The sequence below is a fragment of the Homo sapiens genome, chromosome 17 (genome assembly GCF_000001405.40).
Source record: "Homo sapiens chromosome 17, GRCh38.p14 Primary Assembly".
Classification (NCBI taxonomy): Eukaryota; Metazoa; Chordata; class Mammalia; order Primates; family Hominidae; genus Homo; species Homo sapiens.
In genome coordinates this window covers 41773388-41798751 of record NC_000017.11, presented here as the reverse complement: position 1 = coordinate 41798751, position 25364 = coordinate 41773388, and the positions used below count along the sequence as shown (strand labels likewise).

Sequence of the window (25364 nt, the reverse complement as noted above, 5' to 3'; positions counted from 1 at the left end):
GGTTTGGATCTTTTCTAACTAAATCAGTGCTGCTCAGAGAAGAGAGAGAATGCCCTGGTTGCAGGGGCTGGCCTGGTGTGTGTCTGTTCATTTTTGAGACGTAGTCTCACTCCAGCCCAGGCTGGAGTGCAGTGGCGTGATCTCGGCTCACTGCAACCTCCAACTCCCTGGTTCAAGTGATTCTCCTGCCTCAGCCTCCCAAGTAGCTAGGATTACAGGCACATGCCACTAGGCCTGGCTAATTTATTTTTAGTAGAGACACACCATGTTGGCCAGGATGGTCTTGATCTACTGACCTCGCGATCCGCCTGCCTCAGCTTCCCAAAGTGCTGGGATTACAGGAGTGAGCCACCCTGCCTGGCCAGCCTGGTTTTGTTAGGCTGTCAGCTGGGGACAGGGAGAGGAGAGGGTGCGCTGCAGGATGTGGAGATAAATCCCCTACAGGGCCATGCGCTGTGGCTAACACCTGTAATCCCTGCACTTTAGGAGGCCAAGCAAGGTGGGTGGATCAGTAGAGCCCAGGATTTCGACACCAGCCTGGTCAACATGGTGAAACCCTGTCTCTACCAAAAAATACAAAAATTAGGCCAGGCATGGTGGTTCACACCTGTAATCCCAACACTTTGGGAGGCCGAAGCGGGCAGATCACCTGAGATTAGGAGTTCGAGACCAGCCTGGCCAACATGGTGAAACCCCGTCTCTACTAAAAATACAAAATTAGCCAGGTGTGGTGGCACATGCCTGTAATCCCAGCTACTTGGGAGGCTGAGGCAGGAAAATCTCTTGAACCTGGGAGGTAGAGGTTGCAGTGAGCCCAGATCGCACCATTGCACTCTGGCCTGGGCAACGAGAGCAAAACTCTGTCTCAAAAGAAAAAAAAAAAAGAAAATTAGCTGGGTGTGGTGGAACATGCCTGTAATCCCAGCTACTCAGGAGGCTGAGGTAGGAGGATCACTTGAGCCTGGGAGGCGGAGGTTGCAGTGAGCCAAGATCAGGCCACTGGACTTCAGCCTGGAGCCTGGGTGACAGAGTGAGTACCCCCAAAAAAAAAAAAAATCCCCTGCAATGCCATAGCTCAGCTCTCGCTGAAGGAGGCAAGGAGTGGGAAGGGAGGGGGAAGGAAAAAAATGAAAGGAAGAAAGGAGGAGGAAGGGAGCAAAGAAAGAAGAAATGAAGGGAGGGAGGACAGAAGGAAGAAATGAATGAAGGGAGGCAGGGGGGCCTGGGGACAGAGTTGCTGGGATCACTTAGACTAACAACTTCCTGAATCCTGAGAGTCATGTTCAGGGAGGTGGGAGGGAGTCCCTTGGGCTCCCCGCAAATTCAGTAAATTCCAGCCGAAGAAATTCCACTCTTAGATTTGAAAAGTAGTTCTTGCCAGGCGCAGCTCATGTCTGTAATTCCAGCACTTTGGGAGGCTGAGGCAGGTGGATCACCTGAGGTCAGGAGTTTGAGACCAGCCTGCTCAACATGGTGAAACCCTGTCTCTACTCAAAATATAAAAAATTAGCTGGGTGTGGTGGTGGGCTCCTGTAATCCCAGCTACTTGGGAGGCTGAGGCAGGAGAATCGCTTGAACCCGGGAAGTGGAGGTTGCAGTGAGCCAGGATCGTGCCACTGCGAGACTCTGTCACAATAAAAAAAAAAAAAAAAAAAAAAAAAAAGGTCGGGCGCGATGGCTCTCGCTTGTAATCCCAGCACTTTGGGAGGCCGAGGCGGGCAGATCACAAGGTCAGGAGATCGAGACCATCCTGGCTAACACGGTGAAACCCGTCTCTACTAAAAGTACAAAAAATTAGCCGGGCATAGTGGTGGGTGCCTGTAGTTCCAGCTACTCCGGAGGTTGAGGCAGGAGAATTGCTTGAACCCGGGAGGCGGAGTTTGCAGTGAGCGGAGATTGCGCCACTGCACTCTAGCCTGGGTGACAGAGCAAGACTCCGTCTCAAAAAACAAACAAACAAACAAACAAACAAACAAAAAAGAAACAAAGAAAAAGAAAAAAGAAAAGTAGTTCTTGAAGTCTCAACCTGGTTCTCTGTCTCTAGGAGAATAGAAACTCCCTTGGGAACAAAGAGTGGCCCTTCCCCTTGTCAGAAGGCTGTGGCCAGTTGTTGCTAGAGCCAATAGCTCAACATGACTGGGGAGATCCTGGCAGCCACAGGACTCAACTCTTAGACAGTTTCCCCATTCTGGGGCCTTGCTCCAGGCCTTCTCTTGTATCTTGTCTCTAAGGACAACCCTGGCAGATAGATGGCTTCCATTTTGTGGATGGGGAAACAGAGGCCCAGAGAGTCTGGGTTGGGCCCCCAGGGCTGAGGCTCACTCTAAGCTAGGCTGGCGCAGCCCTGCCCAGCTCCCTTCACAAGTTCCAAGATGACTTGGGAATTAGATGGGAGTGTGCTGAGGGCTGGGGACAGCCCCCTGGTACCGGCCCCATCCCAAACCCCAGGTCTGACCTATGGACACACCACTGCATAATCACTGCCTGCCTGGGTCCCAGCTGGCGCCAACGTTCCTGGATAGCATCTCTTCTGTCCCGCAAACAGCCCTTGGGATGGGAATACCTCATGCCTGTGACTCAGGTGGGGAAACAGATAACTTGGAGGATAAGGTTGTTTACCCTTCCCTCCACATGCATATACTGTACAGACAGTCCCCAGCTTACAATGATTCAACTTAGGATTTTTTGACTTTAGGATGGTATAAAAGTGATAAGCATTCAGTAGCAACTGTACTTCAAGCACCCAAACAACCATGCTATTTTTTCACTTTCAGTATAGTATTCAGTATATTACATGAGATAGTCACCAAGTTCTTCTTTTTATTTTTTGAGACAGAGTCTCACTGTTGTTGCCCAGGCTGGAGTGCAGTGGCGCAATCTCCGCTCACTGCAACCTCCGCCTCCCGGGTTCAAGCAATTCTCCAGCCTCAGCCTCCTGAGTAGCTGGGATTACAGGCGCGCACCACCATGCCAGGCTAATTTTTTGTATTTTTAGTAGAGACGGGGTTTCACCATGTTGCCCAGGCTGGTCTTGAATTCCTGACCTCAACTGATCCGCCTGCCTTGGGCTCCCAAAGTGCTGGGATTACAGGCATGAGCCACCGTGCCTGGCCAAAATATTCAACAAGTTCTCATAAAATAGGCTTCATGTTAGGCGATTTTGCCCCACTGTAGGCTGAAGTGTTCTGAGCCCATCTGAGGTAGGCTAAACTAAGCCATGATGTAGGTTAGGTGTATTAAGTACATTTTCTTCTTTTTTTTTAATTTTTAATTTTAATTTTTTCCCCTTGTCTCCTCTCACAATCTTCTTTTTTTTTTTTTGGAGATAGGGTTTCGAACTGTTGCCCAGGCTAGAGTGCAGTGGCATGATCTCGGATTACTGCAACCCCCACCTTCCAGGCTCAAGTGAACCTTCTGAGCAGGTGAGACTACAGGCATGTGCCACCATGCTCAGCTCATTTTTTAACGTTTTGTACAGATGGGGGCTCCCTATATTGCATTTCAACTTACAATGTCTATGAGGACATAACCCCCCTCTGAAGTTGAGGAGCATCTGCACTTGATCCTTTCTTTTTTCTTTTCTTTTCTTTTTTTTTTTTTTTTGGAGACAGAGTTTCGCTCTTGTTGCCCAGGCTGGAGTGCAATGGCGCGATCTCGGCTCACCACAACCTCCACCTCTCGGGTTCAAGCGATTCTCCTGCCTCAGCCTCCTGAGTAGCTGGGATTACAGGTGCCCGCCACCAAGCCCAGCTAATTTTGTATTTTTAGTAGAGACAAGGTTTCTCCATGTTGGTCAGGCTAGTCTCGAGCTCTCTACCTCAGGTGATCTGCCCACCTCGGCCTCACAAAGTGCTGGGATTACAGGCGTGAGCCACCTCGCTCAGCCTTGATCCTTTCGCTCTCCAGAAGAACTTACTAAGTGAGGTCATGTGCAAAGAAGAGGCCAAGAGAACTTGACATTTTCCATTTGAGGTCACCCTTTTCACCTTTCTTTTCAGAAGAAAAGTGTGATATTGTGTTTCTGGGGTAAAATAAGGGGTAGCTAAGCCAAATTACTTTATTTTTCCTTGACTACTGGGCTAAATCCTCCTGACCTTCCTGGAGGAGGAGGCTGGGAAGGGGCAAGTTTCAGCCAATGTAGCTGGAGAATTTGGCCTTTCCTCCCTGGCCCCAGGCAGTAGGGGGTCATTTGAGGGCCTCACAGCCCTAAAAAAAAAAAAGCTCCCATTAAAATTTTTTACCTTATCTCCGGATGAGGTTATAAACCCAGTCACGAGACAGGGGCAGGACTGAAGTCAGAAAACCCTGTCATATGACTTTAACCTTGCGTATAATTGTTTTGATAACTCCATTTTGTTTATTTATTTTAAAATACATCTGTATCCTCAAACACGGAAATGTTCCCGGCTTTGGAGCCCCTTTCCCCCAGCTCACACACACTTTGGACCCGGCAGCCTTCTTCTCCATCAACCCTTATTGGCAGCCTGGCCCAAGCTTCACCCTCCCCCATGCACCCACCCCTCCCCCTGGCTACTTCCAGGTTCTCTGTTGGGGCCATAAATGCTCCAGGAGATGTAAGTTGGCTGCTGCTTCCACTGGAGGCTGAAGTGCTGATGAAATATTCAAGGATCTCAACTCTCAAATTCCCTGGGGGCCGTGGGATGGGACTGGGAAAGATGGGATGAAAGTACAAGGCCAGGGGCCGCTGAGTCCTGTCCCAGTTCTCAGCCAGGTGGAGTCCAGCGCTTAAAGACCTGGGAAGCAGAGAGGGCCGGAGGGCGAGAGGCGGGGGTGGGGAAGGGTCTGTTTGCATAATTGATGGCTAGAGGCTCTAGGTGGTGCCATCCGCTGGTCGGCTTAGGGGAAGTAAGGCCTGAGTCTGGGACCACCCAGAGCCACCCCCTCCCCCAGCCCTGGCTGTCTAACTCCAAGGTTTTCCTGGGGTCACACCTCTGAGCTGACAAAATCAAGCTGGCAAAATTGGTTCTCGTCTCCTCCCTGACTGCAGCCCGTCTTTGCCTTCCTTGGGGTGGAAAGAGACCTACATTGGTGGGGGAGGTGAACTGGCTGGCAGAAGACCAAGGTTCAAGTCCCAGCCCTGCCAGGAATTTTCTTGTGTGATCTTGGGGAAGTCCCTCTCCTGGCTCCAGCCGCAGTTTCTTCATAGATGCAGGGAAAAGGGGGCTCCGCTTAGACTATGCCTTCTTCCTCTTCCCAAGGCTCTCCACAGGTCAGGGAGAAATGGCTGCCTCCAGCCGTGTGTGCGCGTGAGAGGGATGGCCTCTCCGTGGGAAGCATGCCTTGTCAGGGCAGGCATCTCTCCTGGCTTGTGGAAAGAGGGAGGAGCGGGACAGGCTGGCAGGGCAGGTGGGGCCCCAGCTGTGTCAGCCTGTGCATGGAGTCGCCCAGACCAGGAGCAGGAAGCGGGTGACTCAGGTCGCAAAGGCTCGGCTACCCCTCCCCACTCAGGAGGAGGGTGTTGCTTAGGGAGTTGGTGAACCAGCTCTGGAGCCCGATCTAGATGCCACCGGTCCTGGAGTTTCAACTTGCGGGGCTTGGGGTGAATAAGGAGGGGCAGCCTGGGACAGGCATTCTCTGGAGAGGTTTCGACAGACCCTCCTCCAGCCTCTCCCTCCACCACCACTGGCCGCTGCTATCTCACCCTGGCCTGTACTATTTCTGGCCCGTCCTATCTCTGTTTTCTTGTCTCCTGTTTTCCTTCTGACATTCCATCCCCACCCACACGCCTTGCAGTGAAGTGTCGCTGGAGCTACATCTGTAATTAAAAGACACACGCCCACAGGACCAGGCTGTGGGCAGCCTCTGGCCTCAAGGCCCCTCCCCTGGACACAAGGCAGGAAAAAAGGCAGGAGTCCATCTCCCCACAGCCTCCCTCCAGAGCCCTGCAGCCTCCTGCTCCCTTCCCAGCTTCTGGCCATGCTTGGGCCCACTCCAGCCAGCAGAGTTTGGGAGCCTGCAGGCTCTTCTGCAGCTGTGTCCTCCCCGAGCCCTGAAGGGGGCCTTCTGAGTAAGCCCCCACCCCCAAAGCCAGTGGGCAGGGCCAAGAGCACAAATGAGGCCTACATGCCATAGATCTAGGTAAGTTACAGAGCACACTCCCAGGCCAGTTGTGGTGACTCACACCTGTAATCCCAGCACTTTGGGAGGCCGAGGCGGGTGGATCACTTGGGGTCAGGAGTTCAAGACCAGCCTGGCCAACATGGTGAAACCCCATCTCTACTAAAAATACAAAAATTGGCCGGGCATGGTGGCACGTGCCTGTAATTCCAGCTACTTGGGAGGCTGAGGCATGATAATCACTTGAACCTGGGAGGCGGAGGTTGCAGTGAGCCAAGATTGCACCACTGCACTCCAGCCTGGGCAACAGAGCAAGACTCTGTCTCAACAAAAACCCAAAAAAACAAAAAATGGAGCATGCTCCTGAACTGCTAGGTCAGATATACCTTGACAGTTGCACCCCCGCGATGACCTGAAAGTCCATGATGGAGTCCCAAGTTCTCACTGTGTCAGGGCATGGCAGCCCCATGGAGAACGGCTCCTCCCTGGCCCCCAGCCAGGGCCTGGACTATTTCCCTTTCCTTAGCACCTCTGGCTCTGCCTGCGCCACAAGGTCCTCCAGCCCTTGCATGGAGATTTCCTAGCGCGCATCCATGCTGCCTCTATCTCCCCACCCCAGCAATAACTGCCCTTTGTCATGTCCCTAGTTTGGCCCAAGTGTGTCCATGCACAGTAGCACTGGTGCCGCTGCTCCTGGGGAGAAGGACCAGAGTCAGCGACCTGCAGGCCTGGAAAGTAGGGTCAGTGTTGGGCAGGAATTCCAGAGTTTCTGGTGCTGGTCCCTGGAGTGTGGTCTAGAAGGAATGTGAAGTCCATGTAGGCTCCTCTGTCCCTTTGCCCCTGTGTGGAGGGGGCAACCCCAGGAGGGCCAGAGTGGAGGCCTTTTAAAGGCCAGGATCGGCCAGGCATGGTGGTTCAGGCCTGTAATTCCAGCACTTTGGGAGGCCGAGACAGGCGGATGACGAGGTCAGGAGATCGAGACCATCCTGGCTAACACTGTGAAACCCCGTCTCTACTGAGAAAAAAAAAAACAAAAAATTAGCCAGGCATGGTGGCACGTGCCTGTAGTCCCGGCTACTCAGGAGGCTGAGGCAGAAGAATCACTTGAACCCGGGAGGCGGAGGTTGCAGTGAGCTGAGATCGCACCACTGCACTCCAGCCTGGGTGACAGAGTGAGACTCCAAAAACAAAAAACAAAAAACAAAAAACAGGCCAGGACCTGGAGAGAAACTGGGTGTAAAGATGGCTCTGGCCAGGTGTGGTGGCTCACACCTGTAATCCCCACACTTTGGGAGGCTGAGGTGGGAGGATCACTTGAAGCCAGGAGCTCCAGACCAACCTGGGCAACATGGTGAGACCTCATCTCTACCAAAAAAAAGAAAAAAAATTAGCTGGGTGTGGTAGCGGCTGTGGTCAGCTACTCAGGAGGCTGAGGCTAGGGGATCCCTTGAGCCCAGGAGGTTGAGGCTGCAGTGAGCTGTGATTTCGCCACTGCACTCCAGTTCTGGCAGCAGAGTGAGACCCTGTCTCTGAGAAAAAAAAAAAAAAAAAAAAAAGGCTGGCTTTGTCCCTGGGCTGAGAGATGGCTCATACCCAAGGTGCCTCTAGCTTTCTGCATTGCCTTTCTTTCAAGTCTGCCATCCGGGAAGAACCTCCCGTTGTGTGATTTCCTTTTCTGCTGCTGCAAAGCGCGGGGAAGAGGCTACTGGGTGATGAAAATGTACCATCATCAGCCTGAAGTTTGGCAACCCAGCTGGTCACCCTGGGCTCCCCTTTATAGAAGTGGTTATGTCTTAGGCTACCTGAGGCTGAAGAGGCAGGAAGAAGGGTGTGTGTGTGTGTGTGTGTGTGTGTGTGTGTGTGTGCGCGCGCGTGTATTAGAGAAAGCTGGTGTTTGTGTATCTGAATCTGCACCCGCAAGTGTATATCCCTGAGGTGTGAGCATAGAAGGTTGTGTGTGTGTGTGTGTGTGTGGCTTGTGTACGTCTAAATTTCTACCTGTCTCTGGGGAAAAGGCCCCCATAGAATAAGGACTGTGGGTTTTTTTTCTTTTTTTTTACTTTTGAGCTGGAGTTTCGCACTTGTTGCCCAGGCTGGAGTGCAATGGCACGATTTCTGCTCACTGCAACCTCTGCCTCCCGGGTTCAAGCGATTCTCCTGCCTCAGCCTCCTGAGTAGCTGGGATTACAGGTGTGTGCCACCACGCCCAGCTAATTTTTTGTATTTTTAGTAGAGATGGGGTTTCTCTGTGTTGGTCAGGCTGGTCTCGAACTTCCGACCTTGGATGATCCACCCGCCTCGGCCTCCCAAAGTGCTGGGATTACAGGCATGAGCCACTGTGCCCGGCCCTAAGGACTGTGTTTGAATGGAGAACAGAAACTCTTCCATCTCCTTGTATGGCCCAGAGGCCTCGTGGAAGATGAGGGGGGTTGTGAGATAAGGAGAGGACGGTGGCCTGGTGGTCCTGGACACTGGCTGATGGTGTGCACCCTCCCCTAGAAAAGAGCCTCCCTCCCACCAGTCCCTCACTGAACCTCTCTGCGCCAGTTACTTCTGTCTCTGCAGCAGCTTGAGATGGGCCATGTGGTACCCTTATATTCTCTACTCTGAAGCACTAGCAAGCTGCAAGGTTGAGTTACCCATATGTGTTTTTGGCAGCCCATGGACTCTGCTTCCACTGAGCCCTGGGCAAGAGGAAGGAATTGAAACTGCAGGAATAGGAATTGAGGCTGGACATTAGAACAAGGAGACAGGGGCATTCACCATAAGGGAGGCTGCAGGATCTTCTTTCCTGGACATTTGTCAGAGAATTCTTGCCTTTAAAGGTTTGCAGGCAGGGGACTGGATAAGATGACCTTGCGGCCTTTTCTTCAAGTTCAAGCTACAGGGGAGACTGTGGTCACAGAAACCCCCATCCTATCCCTACATACCTCCTTTCACAAGAGACCAAATTGCCTGTGCAGACAGCTGAGTCTAGGAAACATCATTTCTGATTCTATTCTGTATTCTCAGATACAGATGAATCTCAGTGCCTGCCAGGCACATAGTAGGTGCTTAAAGAGAATCCCTTGATCTGGGAGGAGAGACTCAGCTCTAATCCCAGTCTTTGCCGCTGCTGTGGTGGTGCTTCCACCAGTCCCAGCCTGTGTGTTTAGCTCTGGGGCTGGTGTTATGCAACATGTTCCATGCTAAGACACGCAGGGGGCATTCTGGGGAGACACACACACACACACACACACACACACACACACACGGTTTATTCTGAAACCTTATTTCTGCTCCTCCACCCACATGGGCTCCTCCACCCCTCTCTGCAGTCAACCAGCCCTACCCTGCCTCTTTGCTGAGGTCAGGAGAAATAGGAAGGAGTCAGGCCAGGCTTGGAGCTGGGACGTATGTGTGTGTGCATGTGTGGAGGTGGGAGGTGGGCAGAAGGGGGAAGAAATGAAACCCTGGCAGCTGCAGCAGTCCAGGATTGTGAGCCCATTCCTTCCCCAGCTGTGGCCTGGCTACAGCTCTATGTGACAGGGTGACAAGCAGGTGGATGGGGCAGGGGTAAGGCAGGGATAAAGATAGGGAGGTAAGCTGGAGGATGGAGAGTTGAGGAAACAGGCAAAGGGCGGTGGCCCTGGTTATGGGATGGCCACTAGTTCAGGGATGTCCGTATCTCCCTGGCCCTGCTTTTGGATGGCGCAACTTCAGAAGGGAGAATGTTCAGCTACCATTCTTTTCTCTGGTGGGGAAAGTGGTCAAGGTTGCTGCTAAGGTACCTTCATCCAGCCCATCCTGTGTGCTAGCTTTGGGGCTGTAGAGCTTTGTTGATGGGGGACCCTTTTCTAAACCACCACTCCTCCAAAACCCACCCACACACGCTGCTTCTGCTTATCCTTCTATGAGCTCTTTGAAGGTTGGGATCATTTTTATTTCCTGTGTCACCAGGTTTTATTTTCTGTGTTCACCAGTGCCTAACATACAGTTGACAATGAATACTCAAGTGTTGAATGAAGGAATGTTTGTAGGGCCCTTGGCACACCATACAGCCACGAGCAGCATTCATGTCATCAACCACAGAAAGGAAGTGCCCTTGTCTTCTTAAGCTGCCTGTGAGAAGTCCTTTTTATTTTTTTGAGACAGAGTCTCACTCTGTCACCCAGGCTGGAGTGCAATGGCATGATCTCAGCTCACTGCAACCTCTGCCTCCCGGGTTCACGCCATTCTCCTGCCTCAGCCTCCCGAGTAGCTGGCATTACAGGTGCCCGCTGCCATGCCTGGCTAATTTCTGTATTTTCAGTAGAGATGGGGTTTCACCATGTCGGCCAGGCTGGTCTCGAACTCCTGACCTCAAGTGATCTGCCCACCTTGGCCTCCCAAATTGCTGGGATTACAGGCATGAGCCACCACGCCTGGCCGAGAAGTTCTCTCTGATCTCTACCCCAGGCTCTCCTATCGCAGAGGGGTGTGCTGCCCGGTTTATTTTTTTCTTTTCTTTTTTTTTTTTTTGTTTGAGATGGAGTCTCGCTCTGTCATGCCCAGGCTGGAGTGCAGTGACATGGTCTCGGCTCACTGCAACCTCCGCCTCCCAGGTTCAAGCAATTCTCCTGCCTCAGTCTCCCAGGCAGCTGGGATTATAGTTGCCCGCCACCACGCTCGGCTAACTTTTTGTATTTTTTGTAGAGATGGGGCTTCACCATATTGGCCAGGCTGGTGTTGAACTCCCGACCTCAGGTGATCCACCCGCCTTTGCCTCCCAAAATGCTGAGATTACAGGAGTGAGCCACTGCGCCTGGCCTGCCCCGTTTCTTTCATGCCAGGGCTGGATTTCCTTCAGATCTGCTGCTTGATGTTTCCAAGCCCACCAAAGCCTCCTGACACCAATACTGTATTTTTGTGCCAATTAATTGTTCTGTCTCTCCTCCAAGTGTTTGTGCCTTTTCTCTGCCCCTTCCCCATTGCCTTGACATTTTATGTCTATGCTCCTCTTCCATGAGGGGAACAGCTGGTTTGATGGTCCTTCAAATGAGAGGAAGGAGGTTCTAGCTTGGGGTGTGCCACTTTGTAGTTTTGTGACTTCTCTGAACTTCGGTTTCTTCATCTTTACAATGAGGGTCGTTTTCTCATCCTAACTATTTTTCAGAGCTGTCACAATAATTAAAAAAAAACATACCGTTAATTTAAATTTCTAACCTTTAGCAGTTTCTGAGTGCTTTCACAAACCTGACCTCATTTAATCCCCACATACTCCAGTGAGGTAGATATGGCTAATGTATCCAGTTTACAGAAGAGGAGAAACAGGGTGAAGTAACTTGCCTAAAATCATACCAAGTGGGAGAAGACCAAACCTGGCCTTCTAATTCTAAATCCCAGGAGTACTCCATCTTTCGGGAAAAAAATCCCACCCCAGCACAAAGCCTATGAAATGCTATACAAATATGTGATTACTACTTTGGGGCAAGGATGAATAAGCCCAAAGAAGCATCATGCCTGACGCTGAGTTGGCTGGCCGGTGAAGGCGTCTGTCCCTTCCCTTGGTATCCCTATGACTTACCTGTTGGACAGGTAGGGGGAAGGGGAGAGTAATGAGTCTCACCTGCTCAGAGCAAGGGTGGGGCAAGACACACCCCATCCCTTCCATTGGTTTTTTCCTTAGTCTTACTGACAGAGCCTTGTCCAATCAGGAGGAAGTAACTTTCTATCTGCCAATAGATGCAATGTTAGGATGAGACCTCAAGTTAGAGTCCATCCCTAGAGCCGACTGGCAGTCCCCGGGGCCAATGGCAAGCGGATAAACAGAGGCGGCCGTGGAAGAGGACTGGAGGCGAGGCTCCGCCCCTCCACGGGACAGTCAGGCGAGATAGCCAGTGAGCTCGCACCAGAGGGTGGGCGTCTCCCCCAGGGGCGGAGCTTCGAGGTGGCGAGGGGCGTGGCTTGGCTGTCAGGTCTCTTCGCCTTTTGTTCGGTTACTGAGTTGCTGCCTTGGCCAGAGTCCGGAGCAGCCGCCGCCCGACCACGCCGAGCTCAGTTCGCTGTCCGCGCCGGCTCCCACCCCGGCCCGACCCCGACCCGGCCCGGTCAGGCCCCATACTCAGGTGCGGGCTATCGGGGGCGCAGGTATCGTTGGGGACAGAGGGGTGGCGAGCGGCCGCGGGGCCGGTCCCAGCCGTCCCTGGGCAGGTGAGGGCCGGTGCCATCGAGCGCCACCCTGCACCGGCGGCAGGGGGCGCGCTGGGGTCCTGGGCGCGGCGACTTGGGGGTCGCGCGGTTCGGGCCGAGCGCGCCTCGGAGCTCCGCGAACCAGAGATCTGAGCAAGGCGGGGAGGGATCCGGACAGGTGCCTCCGGGGTCGCGCCTCCCCCGGGGCCCGCGCAGCTCGCCCGACGCCGCGTCCCTGACTCTCGCCCTGGGCTGGCGGGGGAGACTTTGCTCTGCTTCGACTGCGTCCCAGGGCTCACGCTGCAGTCAGGAATTTACCGTTTGGGGAACTTGCTGCCGCTGGTCTCTTTGGGGCCACCCTCACCCCACCCCACGCGTCATCCTCGCTTTCCCTCCCTCCCTACTCCCCCAGGCCTGGGTGGGGCCCTATTGTTTGCGCCCAGCTTGCCCAACTGTGGGGGCCGAGCGCACATTTTCCCAGCGACTCTGGCCCCACCTGCCGAGCAGGTGAGCGCACGGAGTCCAGAGGCCCTGCCCTCCAGCTCCCAGAGCCTCGTCGATACTACCTGCGGCGCCTCCCTCCACGCCGGTGGGAGCCCGGCTCTGGCTTCTTCAGCGGAGGTGGGATGGAGTGACTGGGGGGTGCAGGGCTCGGCTCAGTGTCCAGCTGGTGTCTGGCACCCGTGGCTCGCCCTGGGGTCTGGGGGGTGGGGTCTGTGCACGGATGAAGAATTCAGGGTCACCTGGCCCAGTTTCCAGTAGCTGTGGCTGCCAGAGTGTTGGTAGGGGAACAGGACCCGTCTTCTCTAACCTCTTATTGTTGGAAAAAATCACCCAAAACAAACTTTGCAGGAGGAAGTATTCACAGCAGCTTTATCTGGGGGTTTTCCCGTCTCCTTGCCCAAAACTTCCTTTAGGCTTAGGGGGTCCTTCCTGGTGCAAAACCCCTTCCCCCAGCCGGCCCCTGGCTGAACCTGGGCCGGTGCCTGGGCTCCGACCCTGTCTTCCCTGCCCCCACATTCATCCTGTTCGCTGGGCCCCAGGGGCCTGAGGTAGGGGCCGGGGTGGGGGGTGGAAAGTGCTGAGAGGGGAAGCAGCTTCTTCCTTCTCTTCCTGCCTCCTGGGACCACCACACCCCCTCAGACAAGGCCTGCGTAAGTGGTTGTCTCTCAAGCTCTGCCCCCTCCCCAGGAATGGGGGTGGGGCAGGGCTGGGCCAAACTGAGGAAGGTGGGGGGAGTGGTTGTTCTTGTCTTTTTTTTTTTGCCTCTACCCCATCCCCCACATTACTTAGCTGGCTGGTTATTGAGGCAGAAGCGCATGAGGCTGTGGGACTTGCCTTCCATTTGATTTCTGAATTGTGAAGGTGCATGCTTTCTGGAGGCCTGCACAGACCTTTCCCACCCGCTTTCCTGAAAGAATTTGACAGGGAAAGTGAGACCGCAGGAAGGCTTTTTGGGGGAAGGTTTCTTCAATGCTAGACTCTCTCAGGCAGAGCTGCATCGGGCCCCCTGCCTTCCCTGCTCCCAATTTCCTGAGACCGCCCCCCCCCACCCAGAATTGGGGATCTTGATCAGGGTTTGTACCCCGGTTTAAAAAAAAAATCTGAAATGTGGTCTTTTTGCAGGATTTGGAGCCCAGCCTCGTTGGGGAACAGAGAGAGAATACAACAGTTGGGTTCTCTCTCAGTCCTGGGGGTGGGAGAAAGATTGTGGGGGGCGGGGATCGAGAGTGCTTGGAGGGGAAGAGTCTACCACCTCTTTCTTTGTTGTAGATGGGGGAGTGAGGCTGGGGGCCCAGACTCAGCCCCTTTATCCTGGGTGGGGATCACGCTCAGCCCTGTGCTAGGGGGAAGTCAGTGTGGGAACTCAGATCCTTTTCTGCCGGGGGATGGGATTCTGCACCTCTGGGGAGCAACAGGAGCAGGGAGTTTGGGCAAAAATAACCTGCTTTCCCTCTTCTCTGTGCCAAGGTGGAGGAGGGGAGGGCATTGTAATTATGTTGGCTACATGATTAGTTTAGCTAATCTGGTTTGTGGCTGTGATGAAAAGATAATACTGAGGAAGTACTGCTAGGAGGTGCTTGGTGAAAACTGGCCACTGACTGGACTGGGGGATGCGGGGGAGGAGGAGAAGGTAGGACCCAGTTAGTCATTTCTTGCTAGATCAAGCCCCAGCTTGGGTGACTTGAGCCCTCCCACCCCCACTCCACCCCTCCCTTGCACCCTGGCTCCACCCCATTCCCTCTGGAGCCTCTGTTTGGGCTGCCAGGGCCGAGGCTTTGAGAATGCAGTGCATAGGAACGAAAAAGGTCGGGCTAGGGCTGCCAACCTTTTTCCCATCCTGGAGCCACCTTAGAGTGAGATGGGTCAATTGACTAGTCTACAGAAGGACTGTTTATTTGGAGAGATGGGACAGTGGGGCAGTTCTGAGCACAGGGCTTTGGGCTTGAACTGAGCTGGGTTTGAGACCCAGCTCTGTCTCTCATTACCTGAGCCTCAGTGACCTCTTTGGCAAAATGGGAATACTAATACCTATCTACCCAGTAAGTACTTGACAAACGGTAACTCAAGATCAAGGTAAGACTTTACAGAAACCAAGCACTTTCTTTTTTTTTTTTTTTTTTTTTTTTGAGATGGAGTCTCGCTCTGTCACCCAGGCTCACTGCAACCTCCGCCTCCTGGGTTCAAGTGATTCTCCTGCCTCAGCCTCCTGAGTAGCCAGGATTACAGGCGTGTGCCACCACCCCCGGCTGATTTTTGTATTTTTAGTAGAGACAGGGTTTCACCATGTTGCGCAGGCTGGTCTTGATCTCCTGACCTCGTGATTCGCCCGCCCCGGCCTCCCAAAGTGCTGGGATTACAGGCGTGAGCCACCTCACCTGGCCCAAACCAAGCACTTTCATTAACTATTTTTACTTAATCCTTATGGCTGGCCAGGCTGGATGGCTCAGACCTGCAATCCCAGCACGTTAGGAGGCCCAGAAGGGTGGACTGCTTGATTGAGCCCAGGAGTTCCAGACCAGCCTGGGCAACATGGAGAAACCCTGTCTCTACAAAAAAATAGAAAAATTAGCCGGGCGTGGTGGTGCATGCCTGTGGTCCCAGCTACTGGGAATGTTGAGGTGGGAGGATTACCTGAGCCCAGGGAAGTCAAGGCTGCAGTGAGCTGTGTCACTGTATTCCAGCCTGGGCAACAGAGTGAGTCCCTGACTCAAAAAAAAAAAAAAAACAAAAAAAACGCGTATCATTATTCGCATTCTACAGAGGAGGAAATTGAAACTCAAGGAACTTAAGTAATTTCCCCAATGTTGTACAGCGAGACCCAAGCAGCACCAAGACTGACGTTTGGGTCCTCTGATTCCAAGCCCAGAACCCATCCTGCTGTATTGCCCCATGCAGCTCTGGAAAGGATTTTTTTTTTTTTTTTGAGATGGAGTCACGCTCTGCCACCCAGGCTGGAGTGCAGTGGCGCGATCTCGGCTCACTGTAACGTCTACCTCCTGGGTTCAAGCGATTCTCCTGTCTCAGCCTCCCGAGTAGCTGGGATTACAGGCATGCACCACCACACTAGGCTAATTTTTGTATTTTTAGTAGAGATGGGGTTTCACCATGTTGGTCAGGATGGTCTCGAACTCCTGACCTTCAGGAGATCCGCCCGCCTCAGCCTCCCAAAGTGCTGGGATTACAGGTGTGAGCGGAAAGGATTTTTCTGCACCCCCTTTTGAGAGCCTCTGCCTGACTGGGGAGAAGAGAATTCAGAAGGGCCCATGAAGGCATGTGTGAGTGGTGAATGTAGGGCAGGTTTTGTAGGTGGGGGTGATACCTGTCCTGGCCACCAGCCCACTTAAATCTCCCCAGTGGCTTGATTTTTAGTTTCCGGTGGAAGCGGCTTCTCCCCAAGGCCAGGGCTGTGGTGAGTGTTGGGGGGAGGTTGAGAGGGAAAGAGGAGGCAGGGGTCAAAGCTGTGCTGCCTCCTAGCTTGGGTTAGGTAGAACCATGGCTGTTCTGGGCTTGTTCATGTGTAGGAAGTGGGAGTTGCCTGCTTTGCTGGGGGCTGGGGCTATGCCAAGATAAAGGGGTGCTGCCCTGTGGGGATTGGCGAGAAACGAGAGTCCGATTTAGGCCTGGGCTAATGTCCTGCTGGAGTTGACGAGGCAGTGCTGCCAGGCTGCTCTTGATGGGGAACTGGCTGTCCTCTGCTCTGAAGCCCAAGAGACCTGAGATAGGCAGCTGCTGGGAGGGCTTTTCTGGTGATGGAGGTGGGGGTCATGTGTGCTGCCTGTCAGCCAGAGCCTTGGCCCTCTAGGGAGGAGCTGGTGTCAGATTGTTCTCCAGACCTGCCTGGTTCTGGTGTCTCTGCCAACTGGACATCTGACACCAGAATGGGCCTGGATTTGGGGTCTGGGAAATGGGTTCTCTTTATGTGATGGTGCAGCCGGAGTACTGAACCTGTCACTACCGCGCTTCTGGATTCCCTGAGGGCAGGCGGGGACCCCAGGCAACGGGATTATTGATCGTGGAGAAGGCTAATGGGACTTGAGACAGAGAAGAAAACAGAATGAACCCCATCCCACTGACTACTACAAAGAGGGCATGAGGTTGCAGTTTTTCCATCTCCCCCGAGGACTTGAGAGCTGCAGGCCCGATGCACTTACTGAAGGGACGCAGTCTAGACAGGAGGAGGGGCTTTCTGCCTGCTAAAGATGAAATCTTGAGTTGAGAAATAAGAGGGAGAGGTGGAGACTCAGCATTGACTCTTCTCTGATGAGGGCCATCCTGTGCGGCAGGGAGGCCAGACAGGAATTGCTGCCCTTTGGGGAGACTCCTCATTTGTATCTTTTGGGAGAAGAGCGACCTGGCAGTGAGAGGGAAAGGCATCTGTGAGCTGGTCCTGTGACCCCTGTGAAGAGGAAAAGCAAGCAGTGTGGCTGGGCAGGTCACCAGGGCTTGTGTTCCTGCAAGTGACACTGAGCGGCCTCTCCTGGGACATGGTTGAGTCTGGGGACATGGAATATCTTATTGTGAAGCGACTTCCTCTGCCAGGCCTGAAGGGCAAGCTCATGGACCACTCTCCTTTGCTCAGCCTCCTGGCATCTTGGCCTTTGGGGCCAGCAGAGCAGGAAGCTCAGCTTTCTTTTTCTCTTTCTTTCTTTCTTTTTTTTTTTTTGAGATGGAGTCTCTCACTCTGTCACCCAGACTGGAGTGTAGTGGCACAATCTTGGCTCACTGCAACCTCCATCTCCCGGGTTCAGGTGATTCTCCTGTCTCAGCCTCCCGCGTAGCTGGGACTACAAGCGCCTGCCAGTACGCCCAGCTAATTTTTTTTTTTTTTTTTTTTTGAGACGGAGTCTCACTCACTCTGTCGCCCAGGCTGGAGTGCAGTGGCACGATCTCCGCTCGCTGCAAGCTCCGCCCCCTGGGTTCACACCATTCTCCTGCCTTAGCCTCCCGAGTAGCTGGGACTACAGGCGCCCGCCACCACGCCTGGCTAATTTTTTTGTGTTTTTAGTAGAGACGGGGTTTCACTGTGTTTGCCAGGATGGTCTCGATCTCCTGACCTCATGATCCACCCGCCTCGGCCTCCCAAAGTGCTGGGATTACAGGCGTGAGCCACTGTGCCCGGCCTAATTTTTGTATTTTTAGTAGAGACGGGGTTTCACCATATTGGTCAGGCTGGTCTTGAACTCCTGACCTCAGGTGATCCACTCACCTTGGCCTCCCGACATGCTGGGATTATAAGCGTGAGCCACCGCTTTTGGCACTCAGCTTTCTTTCCTCCTCCCTTCTCCTCTTCTCTTTTCTTTCTTTTTTTTTTTTGGTTTGTTTTTTGAGATGGAGTCCTGCTCTGTCGCCCAGGCTGGAGTGCAGTAGTGCAGTCTTGGCTCACTGCAACCTCTGCCTCCTAGGTTCAAGCAATTCTCCTGCCTCATCCTCCTAAGTAGCTGGGACTACAGGCATGCGCCACCATGCCCAGCTAATTTTTGTATTTTTAGTAGAGATGGGGGTGTCACTATGTTGGCCAGGCTGGTCTTGAATTCCTGACCTCAAGTGATCCACCCACCTCAGCCTCCCAAAGTGCTGGGATTACAGGCGTGAGCCACTGCGCCCGGCCTTCTTTCCTTTTTTTGAGGTAGGGACTCGCTCTGTCCCTTAGGCTAGAGTGCAGTGGCGTGATCACAGCTCACTGCATCCTTGAATTCCTGGGTTCAAGCAATCCTCCCGCCCAGCCTCCCAAGTAGCTGGGTCCACAGGTGTGCACCACCATGCCCAGCTAATTTTTAAAGTTTTGTGTAGAGACAGGGTCTTGCTATGTTGCCCAGGCTGGTCTTGGACTCCTGAGCTCAAGCATTTGTCCCATCTCAGCCTCCCAAAGTGCTGGGATTATGGGCATGAGCCACCATGCCCAGCTGAAGCTCAGCTTTCTGTGTCTTTCCCTACCATGGAGACAGTAGCAGGGACCAGAGCAGAGTTGGGACAGGGGCTTGGCAATCAATAAGCTGCTTATTTAGGGGAGACTCCTCCTCTTCCTTGATTGAGAAGGTAATATCTGGCTGGGGCAGTGGCTTACACCTGTAATCCCAACCGCTCTGAAGGTTGAGGCAGGAGGATTGCTTGAGGCCGGGACTTTGAGACCAGCCTGCCAGCCTGTGCAACATAGCAAGACCCCATCTCTTAAAAAAAAAAAAAAAAATTAGCCAAGCATGGTGGCATGTGCACGTGGTCCTAGCTACTCGGGAGGCTGAGGCGGAAGGATTGCTTGAGCCCAGGAGTTCAAGGCTGCAGTGAGCCATGATTGTGCCACTATACTCCAGCTTGGGCAACAGAGCGAGACCTTGTCTCAAAAAAGAGAAAGAAAATAAAAAAAGTAATATCTGATCATTGTAAAAAAAACTGGGGGCCAGCCGCGGTGGCTCACGCCTGTAATCCCAGCACTTTGGGAGGCCGAGGCGGGCGCATCACGAGGTCAGGAGATCGAGACCATCCTGGCTAACATGGTGAAACCCCGTCTCTACTAAAAAATACAAAGAATTAGCTGGGCGTTGTGGCAGGCACCTGTAGTTCCAGCTACTGTGGAGGCTGAGGCAGGAGAATGGCGTGAACCCGGGAGGCGGAGCTTGCAGTGAGCCAAGATTGTGCCACTGCACTCCAGCCTGGGTGACATCTGTCTCAAAAAAAAAAAAAAAAAAAAATTGGGAAGTTTAGAAAAGTTTAAGAGAAAAGAAAAAAAATCGCCCATAATCCTAAAAAGCAACTTTCATTAAGGTCTCTTCCTCTTTTTTTTTTTTTGAGACGGAGTTTTGCTCTTGTTGCCCAGGCTGGAGTACAGTGGCACAATCTCAGCTCACTGCAACCTCTGCCTTCTGGTTTCAAGCGATTCTCCTGCCTCAGCCTCCTGAGTAGCTGGGATTACAGGCACCTGCCACCATGCCTGGCTAGTTTTTTGTATTTTTAGTAGAGACGGGGTTTCACCATGTTGGCCAGGCTGGTTTCAAACTCCAGACCTTGTGATCCACCCGCCTTGGCCTCCCAAAGTCCTGGGATTACAGGCATGAGCCACCACGCCCAGCCAAGTCTCTTCCTCTTTTCTTAGCATCCTTTTTTTCTTTTTTTTTGAGACGGAGTCTCGCTCTGTCACCCAGGCTGGAGTGCAGTGGCAGGATCTCGGCTCACTGCAAGCTCCGCCTCCTGGGTTCATGCCATTCTCCTGCCTCAGCCTCCCGAGTAGCTGGGACTACAGGCACCCGCTAACACGCCCGGCTAATTTTTTATATTTTTAGTAGAGATGAGGTTTCACCGTATTAGCCAGTATGGTCTCGATCTCCTGACCTCGTGATCCGCCCGCCTCGGCCTCCCAAAGTGCTGGGATTACAGGCATGAGCCACCGTGCTCGGCAACATCCTTTTGTTCTTTAGCCTTGATCTTGATGAGCTCATCCCCTGTATATAGTAACATTTTTTTTTTTTGAGATGGGGTCTCACTGTGTTGCCCAGGCTGGAGTGCAGATCTCAGCTCACTGCAACCTCCTCTTCCTGGGCTCAAGCGATCCTCCTACCTCAGCCTCCCAAGTAGCTGGGACTACAGGCACATGCCACCACGCCCGGCTAATTTTTGCATTTTTTTGTAGAGACAGGGTTTCGCCATGTTGCCCAGACTGGTCTGGAGCTCCTGAGCTCAAGGGGATTCACCTGCCTTGGCCTCCTAAAGTGCTGGGATTACAGGGGTGAGCCACTGCACCCTGCCTACAGTAACAGATTTTAGCCAAAACTTTATTCCAATCCTGGTTTTCCAGCATGTGTTGTACAATAAACAGATGGATCTTCCCAGGAGAGGGTTATATGTAGGGATCCTTGCAGAATCACACCCCAGGGAGTGGGCCTCAGTCAGCTGGGATCGGAGCTGCTGTTATTGAGAAGTGGGCCGCCCCTGGACCCCAGGCTGCCCAAGCCCCACTGGTGGTGGTTGGAGGCAGTGGAATGAGAGTACTTGTGTATTTTGCGTCACCAACACACGTCAACCTTTTGTTGTTGTTTCCTGGTGTGGGGTGAAGTGTTTTTCCATTCCCAGGAGTCCCGGTTTGGGGTCATCTGCCAGTTTGGGAATCTGCCCACGGGGGTCACCAGCAGGGAACGGAGCTCCAGCTGGAGCCCTCTCCAGGGGAGCATAGAGGTCCCTGGGTCGAGCCACTTGGCCGTGGCAAATTCCCTCTCCTACAAATCCCCTTCATTTTCCTACCCGGGTTTGTTTGCTTTGGGAAGGAGCCCAGAAGGAGGAAAATAAACAGCAGCTGGGTCGGCAGGCCTGAGCCTCCCCCAGGCCCCAGCTCATCCTCAGGCCACAGCCTGGGCTGCTCTCCAGACTGGAAGTGAGGGTTTTCCTCCGGAAGCCTAAGACCAGCTTGTCTGACAGCTCCTGCTTCAGTTCTGCCCTCTTGGAATGGACCAGCTTGCTGATGGAGACCACAGTGTCTGCCAGAGAACCTGTAGTCTGCAGGAGGTTCCGTCCTGGAGCTGCCAGCCAGAGGGGAGAGGCCTCCTTGGGCAGCCCCAGCCTGAGAGGGAAACAGGCCCTCAAGGGAAGCCATCATGTCCATCTCTCTGGACTTTCTAGAGTCTGTGTCTGTGCTTGGAACTGCTGGCCAGACCTCAGCAGGAGCCAGGGACAGAGTGGGGAAGGTGGGGGCTGGAGATCCTGCTGAGCCCAGCTTCCCCCTGGGACTGCTATGTGGGGAATGTTCACGCCTGGCTGTGCAGCTGCCCCTGGCTGCAGGAAGCAGCATGGACTGGGCATAGGGCAGCCAGTGTCTCCACCTGGCGTGAGCGAAGTTCCACTCCCCTTCTCCTCAGCCATGTTCCCTTGACCTCCCCAGGGCCTGGGAGGCAGCTCCCTACCTAGTCCCCATCTCAGGGGTCAGAGAAAGCAGCCAGGGCTCCCCCAGACAGACTGCCATCCACCTTGCCCGACAGGTCTCTGTGCCAGCCCTCGCCTTTTTAAATTTTTATTATTTTTCTTTTTTTTTGAGACAGAGTCTCGCACTGTATCCCTGGCTGGAATGCAATTGGTGCGATCTCGGCTCACTGCAACCTCCGCCTCCCAGGTTCAAGTGATTCGCCTGCCTCAGCCTCCCGAGTAGCTGGGATTACAGGTGCCCACCACCACGCCTGGCTAATTTTTTGTATTTTTAGTAGAGATGGGGTTTCACTATGTTGGCCAGGCTGGTCTCAAACTCCTGACCTTGTGATCCACCCACCTTGGCCTCCCAATATGCTGGGATTACAGGCGTGAGCCACCGCGCCTGGCCCCCTCACCTTTTTGTTTTGAGACACGGTCTCGCTCTGTTGCCTAGGCTGGAGTGGCATGATCCTGGCTCACTGCAGCCTCAATCACCTGGGCTCAAGTGATGCTTCAGCTTCCAGAGTAGCTGGGACTGCAGGTGCATGCCACCATGCCCGGCTAATTTCTTTTTATTTTTTGTAGAGACAGGGTCTTACTATGTTGCCCAGGCTGGTTTCGAACTCCTGGGCTCAAACGACCCTCCCACCTCCGCCTTCCAAAATGCTGGGATTATAGGCACGAGCCACTGCGCCAGCTGGCTTCCGCCTCCTCTGCCATCTCTTTGTTCTTCTAGCATGAGAATGCATGCCTTTCCTGTGGACAGAGGGCTTCCAGAGTCACAGTGACAAAAGAAGTCACTTGATCATCTCCATTTTACAGATGAGAAAATGAGGCTTAAGGAAATTGAGCCCCTCTCCTCACTCAGAATCCTGTGCTCACCCTGTCGCTGTCTGAGCCTGGGGACCTGTGTCTGCACAGGGTGCTGGCCTCTAGCCTAAGGAACCTCTGGGGGACCCAGCCCTGCCCTGCTCCGCCCTGCTCCTCTGTTCCCAAATGCAATGCTTCTGAGTCTGCTTCCAGCACGGCCTCTGGGGTAACCCACTCCTGTCCTTATTTCCAGGTGTCTTGGCACTTGGTGCCCTGCAACCCAGCCTAGATGTGCCCATTGCTGACTGTCCTTGGCAGGTGCCGGCTGGGGAAGGAGCCTGGTGTAGCTCTGGTGGGGCTATTTTTAATGTCAGGGCTGGGCCACACTCTGCCAGGTCAGTCTTGGATTTAGGGTGCCCGGTGCCAGCCCTCTGGGTTGGCTGCGCAGAGGAGGAGGCAGGAAAGAAGGGTAGGGGTGCACCCAGTCTAGCCTTATTACTTGCTCACACTTACCTGGTGTGGGTCCCATGGGGAAGGGTCCTCTGCACCCCCTCTCCAGGGCCCGTCTTCCTTCTTCCTGTCCTTGGGCTGTCCCTACAGTCTCTGATCTGGCTTCTTCCTCCCGTGCTGCTAACAATAGAGCACGCTCTAAACAAAGGCCCCCCATTCAACTCAGAAACCCGCCCTGTCTCTGTCCCTGCCCGTCTCTGGCTGGGATGAGTGGGCAGGGCCTGCGTCTGTCTCTCTCGCTTCCACCCTGGCTCTGTCCAGGGGCATTGCAGGAGGTCTGACTCCAGGTCCAGGGTGGAGAGGGACAAGACTGAACTGGGTGTGGCCCCCTCCACCCTGGGAACTGTAAAACCAGCACTTTTGTTTCTTGTGAGAGAAGTTCCTTTGTTCTCCTGGGCAGTAGGTAAGGAGAAGGGTGGGGCTGGTTGACAGTCCTGCCTGAGGTCTGACTTCCAGCCTTCCTGTTGCAGGAATAGCTCCCGTGACCCCTTCCTCAGGAGGAGTTCTGGAGTGTGTCCTCTCTCTGAACTGGTTCCCAACTCTGACGTTGCCCACCCCCAGCCTTCTTCTGTCTGTTGTGGGAATCCTGTTTTTTTATTTCTAGAATCTTAGACATCAACATTCCTTTGAGATCCAGGGACACAAGGACACCCAGCAAGTTTGTGGCAGAGCTGGGACTAGAACCTGGGACTCTTTTTTTTTTTTTTTGAGACAGGGTCTTGCTCTGTTGTCAGCCAGGCTGAAGTGCAGTGGCGCAGTCTCGGCTCACTGCAACATGCACCTCCCTGGTTTAAGCAATTCTCCCGCCCCAGCCTCCCGAGTAGCTGGGATTACAGGTGCACACCACCATGCCTGGCTAATTTTTGTACTTTTTTAGTAGAGACAGGATTTCACCATGTTGACCAGGATGGTCTTGAACTCCTGACCTCGTGATCTGCCCGCCTTGGCCTCCCAAAGTGCTGGGATTACAGGTGTGAGCCACCGCACCCGAACCTGGGACACTTGATTTGCAGCCGAGTGCTCTGCTTCCATCTGCAAGCACCTTGGTCCCCTCCTCCCCTTGGCAAGAGGGCTCAGCTCCACCCAGGCTTGTCTAGTGGACTGGATGCTGTTCCTACCACAAGTGCTGCCATTTTCTCAGTGTGCAGGCACAGCTTCTTCACCTAGAAATTGGGAATAAAGCCAGGCACAGTGGCCCAAGCCTATAATCCCAGCACTTTGGGAGGCTGAGGTGGGCGGATCACCTGAGGTCAGGAGTTCAAGACCAGCCTGGCCAACATGGGGAAACCCGGTCTTTACTAAAAATACAAAAATTAGCCAGGCGTGGTGGTGCACACCTGTAGTCCCAGCTACTTCAGAGGTTGAGGCAGGAGAATCACTGGAACCCAGGAGGTGGAGGTTGCAGTGAGCCAAGATCATGCCACTGCACTCCAACTTGGGCGACAGAGAGAGATTCTGTCTCAAAAAAAAGAAAGAAAGAAAGAAATTGGAAATTATAAAACATCTGCCAGGGTTGCTTTGAGGGAAGAATGAGATTCACATAATAATAAAGGCCACTGGGCGTCCACCCCCCCACCCCCCCATGGCATCCTGTGGCTTCTGTCTCTCCCTGGGTAGCTGTCTAGCCCTCAGCAGTCTCCTGGCGGTTGACCTGGGCTGGTGGGGGTGGTGAGGGGCCTGCTGAGGAAGTTCCTCAGCTTGACTGTGGTGGTCCCTTTAGATGTGAGGCCGGCAAGGGGTGACCCTTGTTTGGAGTGAGGCCCGCTTCCCTCTCCCTTAGCTGAGAAGCCCCAGGGTTAGGCACTGTCTATGCAGGAGGGCCCTCTGGCTGGGATGCAGTGTGTTTGTTGACCAGAGCTGCAGATGTCCAGCAGTGTCCAGATGTCGTTCAGCCTTGAGCCCAGCAGAGCGGCATTCAGTGGGTTATTGCTACCGTGTTTACTTGTACACTTGCACCTTCCTTCTCTCCTGGGGGCAGCTTCTCTTCCAAACTCTCCTCTGCTCTCTCTTGGGACTTGCCCTTGGGGCAGGGAAATGGTTGGGGAAGGCGGCACAGCACGAGGAGCTCAGGATTTTAGTAGGGTTTTCCCATGTCTGCCTTCTCCGAGCACCCCGCCCCCCGCCCCCCACCATTGCCCCTGTTTCCTGCCAGTGGCCATTCCCCTCTGTTGCTGGGGAAGGGGTGTGGGGAAGGGGTGCGTGTGGAAAGGGGGCTGGTTGGGGGGGCTCCTTCTGAAATAGCTACACTTTCGAATGCCTGGGAAGCAGCTGTGCACATCTGGCGGCCCGAGCCTGTCGTCTGGGGTCTGCCGTCTGAGGTGGCGGGACTGCTTCTGTTTAATCAGCCTGAAACTCTGAGTCACTAGGGATTGCGGGAGGAGAGGAAGGAGGCAGCTGGGAGCTGGCCTGGCCCCTGCCTCTGCCTG

The 25364-nt window shown here is 53.7% G+C and overlaps 1 protein-coding gene across 16 annotated transcripts in view, besides 6 other annotated features; it reads left to right on the top strand.

Moving 5' to 3' along the window:
- Positions 5223-6076: a transcriptional cis regulatory region, noted in NCBI's record as "candidate enhancer chr17.2540 targeted for multiplex CRISPR interference". NCBI's record gives its function as "positively regulates JUP gene expression with high confidence in K562 cells {active_cell/tissue: K562}" and the evidence as "EXISTENCE:mutant phenotype evidence [ECO:0000015][PMID:30612741]".
- Positions 5228-5891: an enhancer, noted in NCBI's record as "H3K27ac-H3K4me1 hESC enhancer chr17:39949113-39949776 (GRCh37/hg19 assembly coordinates)". NCBI's record gives its function as "activates a minimal SCP1, AML or CMV promoter by ChIP-STARR-seq in primed H9 embryonic stem cells {active_cell/tissue: H9 hESC(primed)}" and the evidence as "EXISTENCE:reporter gene assay evidence [ECO:0000049][PMID:30033119]".
- Positions 6556-7219: an enhancer, noted in NCBI's record as "H3K4me1 hESC enhancer chr17:39947785-39948448 (GRCh37/hg19 assembly coordinates)". NCBI's record gives its function as "activates a minimal SCP1, AML or CMV promoter by ChIP-STARR-seq in naive H9 embryonic stem cells {active_cell/tissue: H9 hESC(naive)}" and the evidence as "EXISTENCE:reporter gene assay evidence [ECO:0000049][PMID:30033119]".
- Positions 12041-25364, top strand: part of JUP (junction plakoglobin) — a 32103-nt gene continuing 18779 nt past the window's right edge. For 6 of the 16 annotated variants that reach the window (NM_001352774.2, NM_021991.4, NM_002230.4 and 3 more), the window contains exon 1: positions 12041-12164. The gene's annotated coding sequence lies outside the window, so the exon portion shown is untranslated. Of the gene's footprint in view, positions 12250-12644; positions 12736-12775; positions 14772-25364 lie in introns of those variants that run through there. The other 10 variants (NM_001352775.2, XM_006721874.4, NM_001352773.2 and 7 more) reach the window with 5 other exon arrangements.
- Positions 12073-12372: a silencer, noted in NCBI's record as "silent region_8499". NCBI's record gives its function as "represses an Ori minimal core promoter by ATAC-STARR-seq in GM12878 lymphoblastoid cells {active_cell/tissue: GM12878}" and the evidence as "EXISTENCE:reporter gene assay evidence [ECO:0000049][PMID:35858748]".
- Positions 12537-12749: a silencer, noted in NCBI's record as "fragment chr17:39942255-39942467 (GRCh37/hg19 assembly coordinates)". NCBI's record gives its function as "represses an EF-1alpha promoter that drives an FKBP-Casp9 reporter gene in an ReSE screen in HepG2 liver carcinoma cells {active_cell/tissue: HepG2}" and the evidence as "EXISTENCE:reporter gene assay evidence [ECO:0000049][PMID:32094911]".
- Positions 22498-23001: an enhancer, noted in NCBI's record as "H3K27ac-H3K4me1 hESC enhancer chr17:39932003-39932506 (GRCh37/hg19 assembly coordinates)". NCBI's record gives its function as "activates a minimal SCP1, AML or CMV promoter by ChIP-STARR-seq in naive H9 embryonic stem cells {active_cell/tissue: H9 hESC(naive)}" and the evidence as "EXISTENCE:reporter gene assay evidence [ECO:0000049][PMID:30033119]".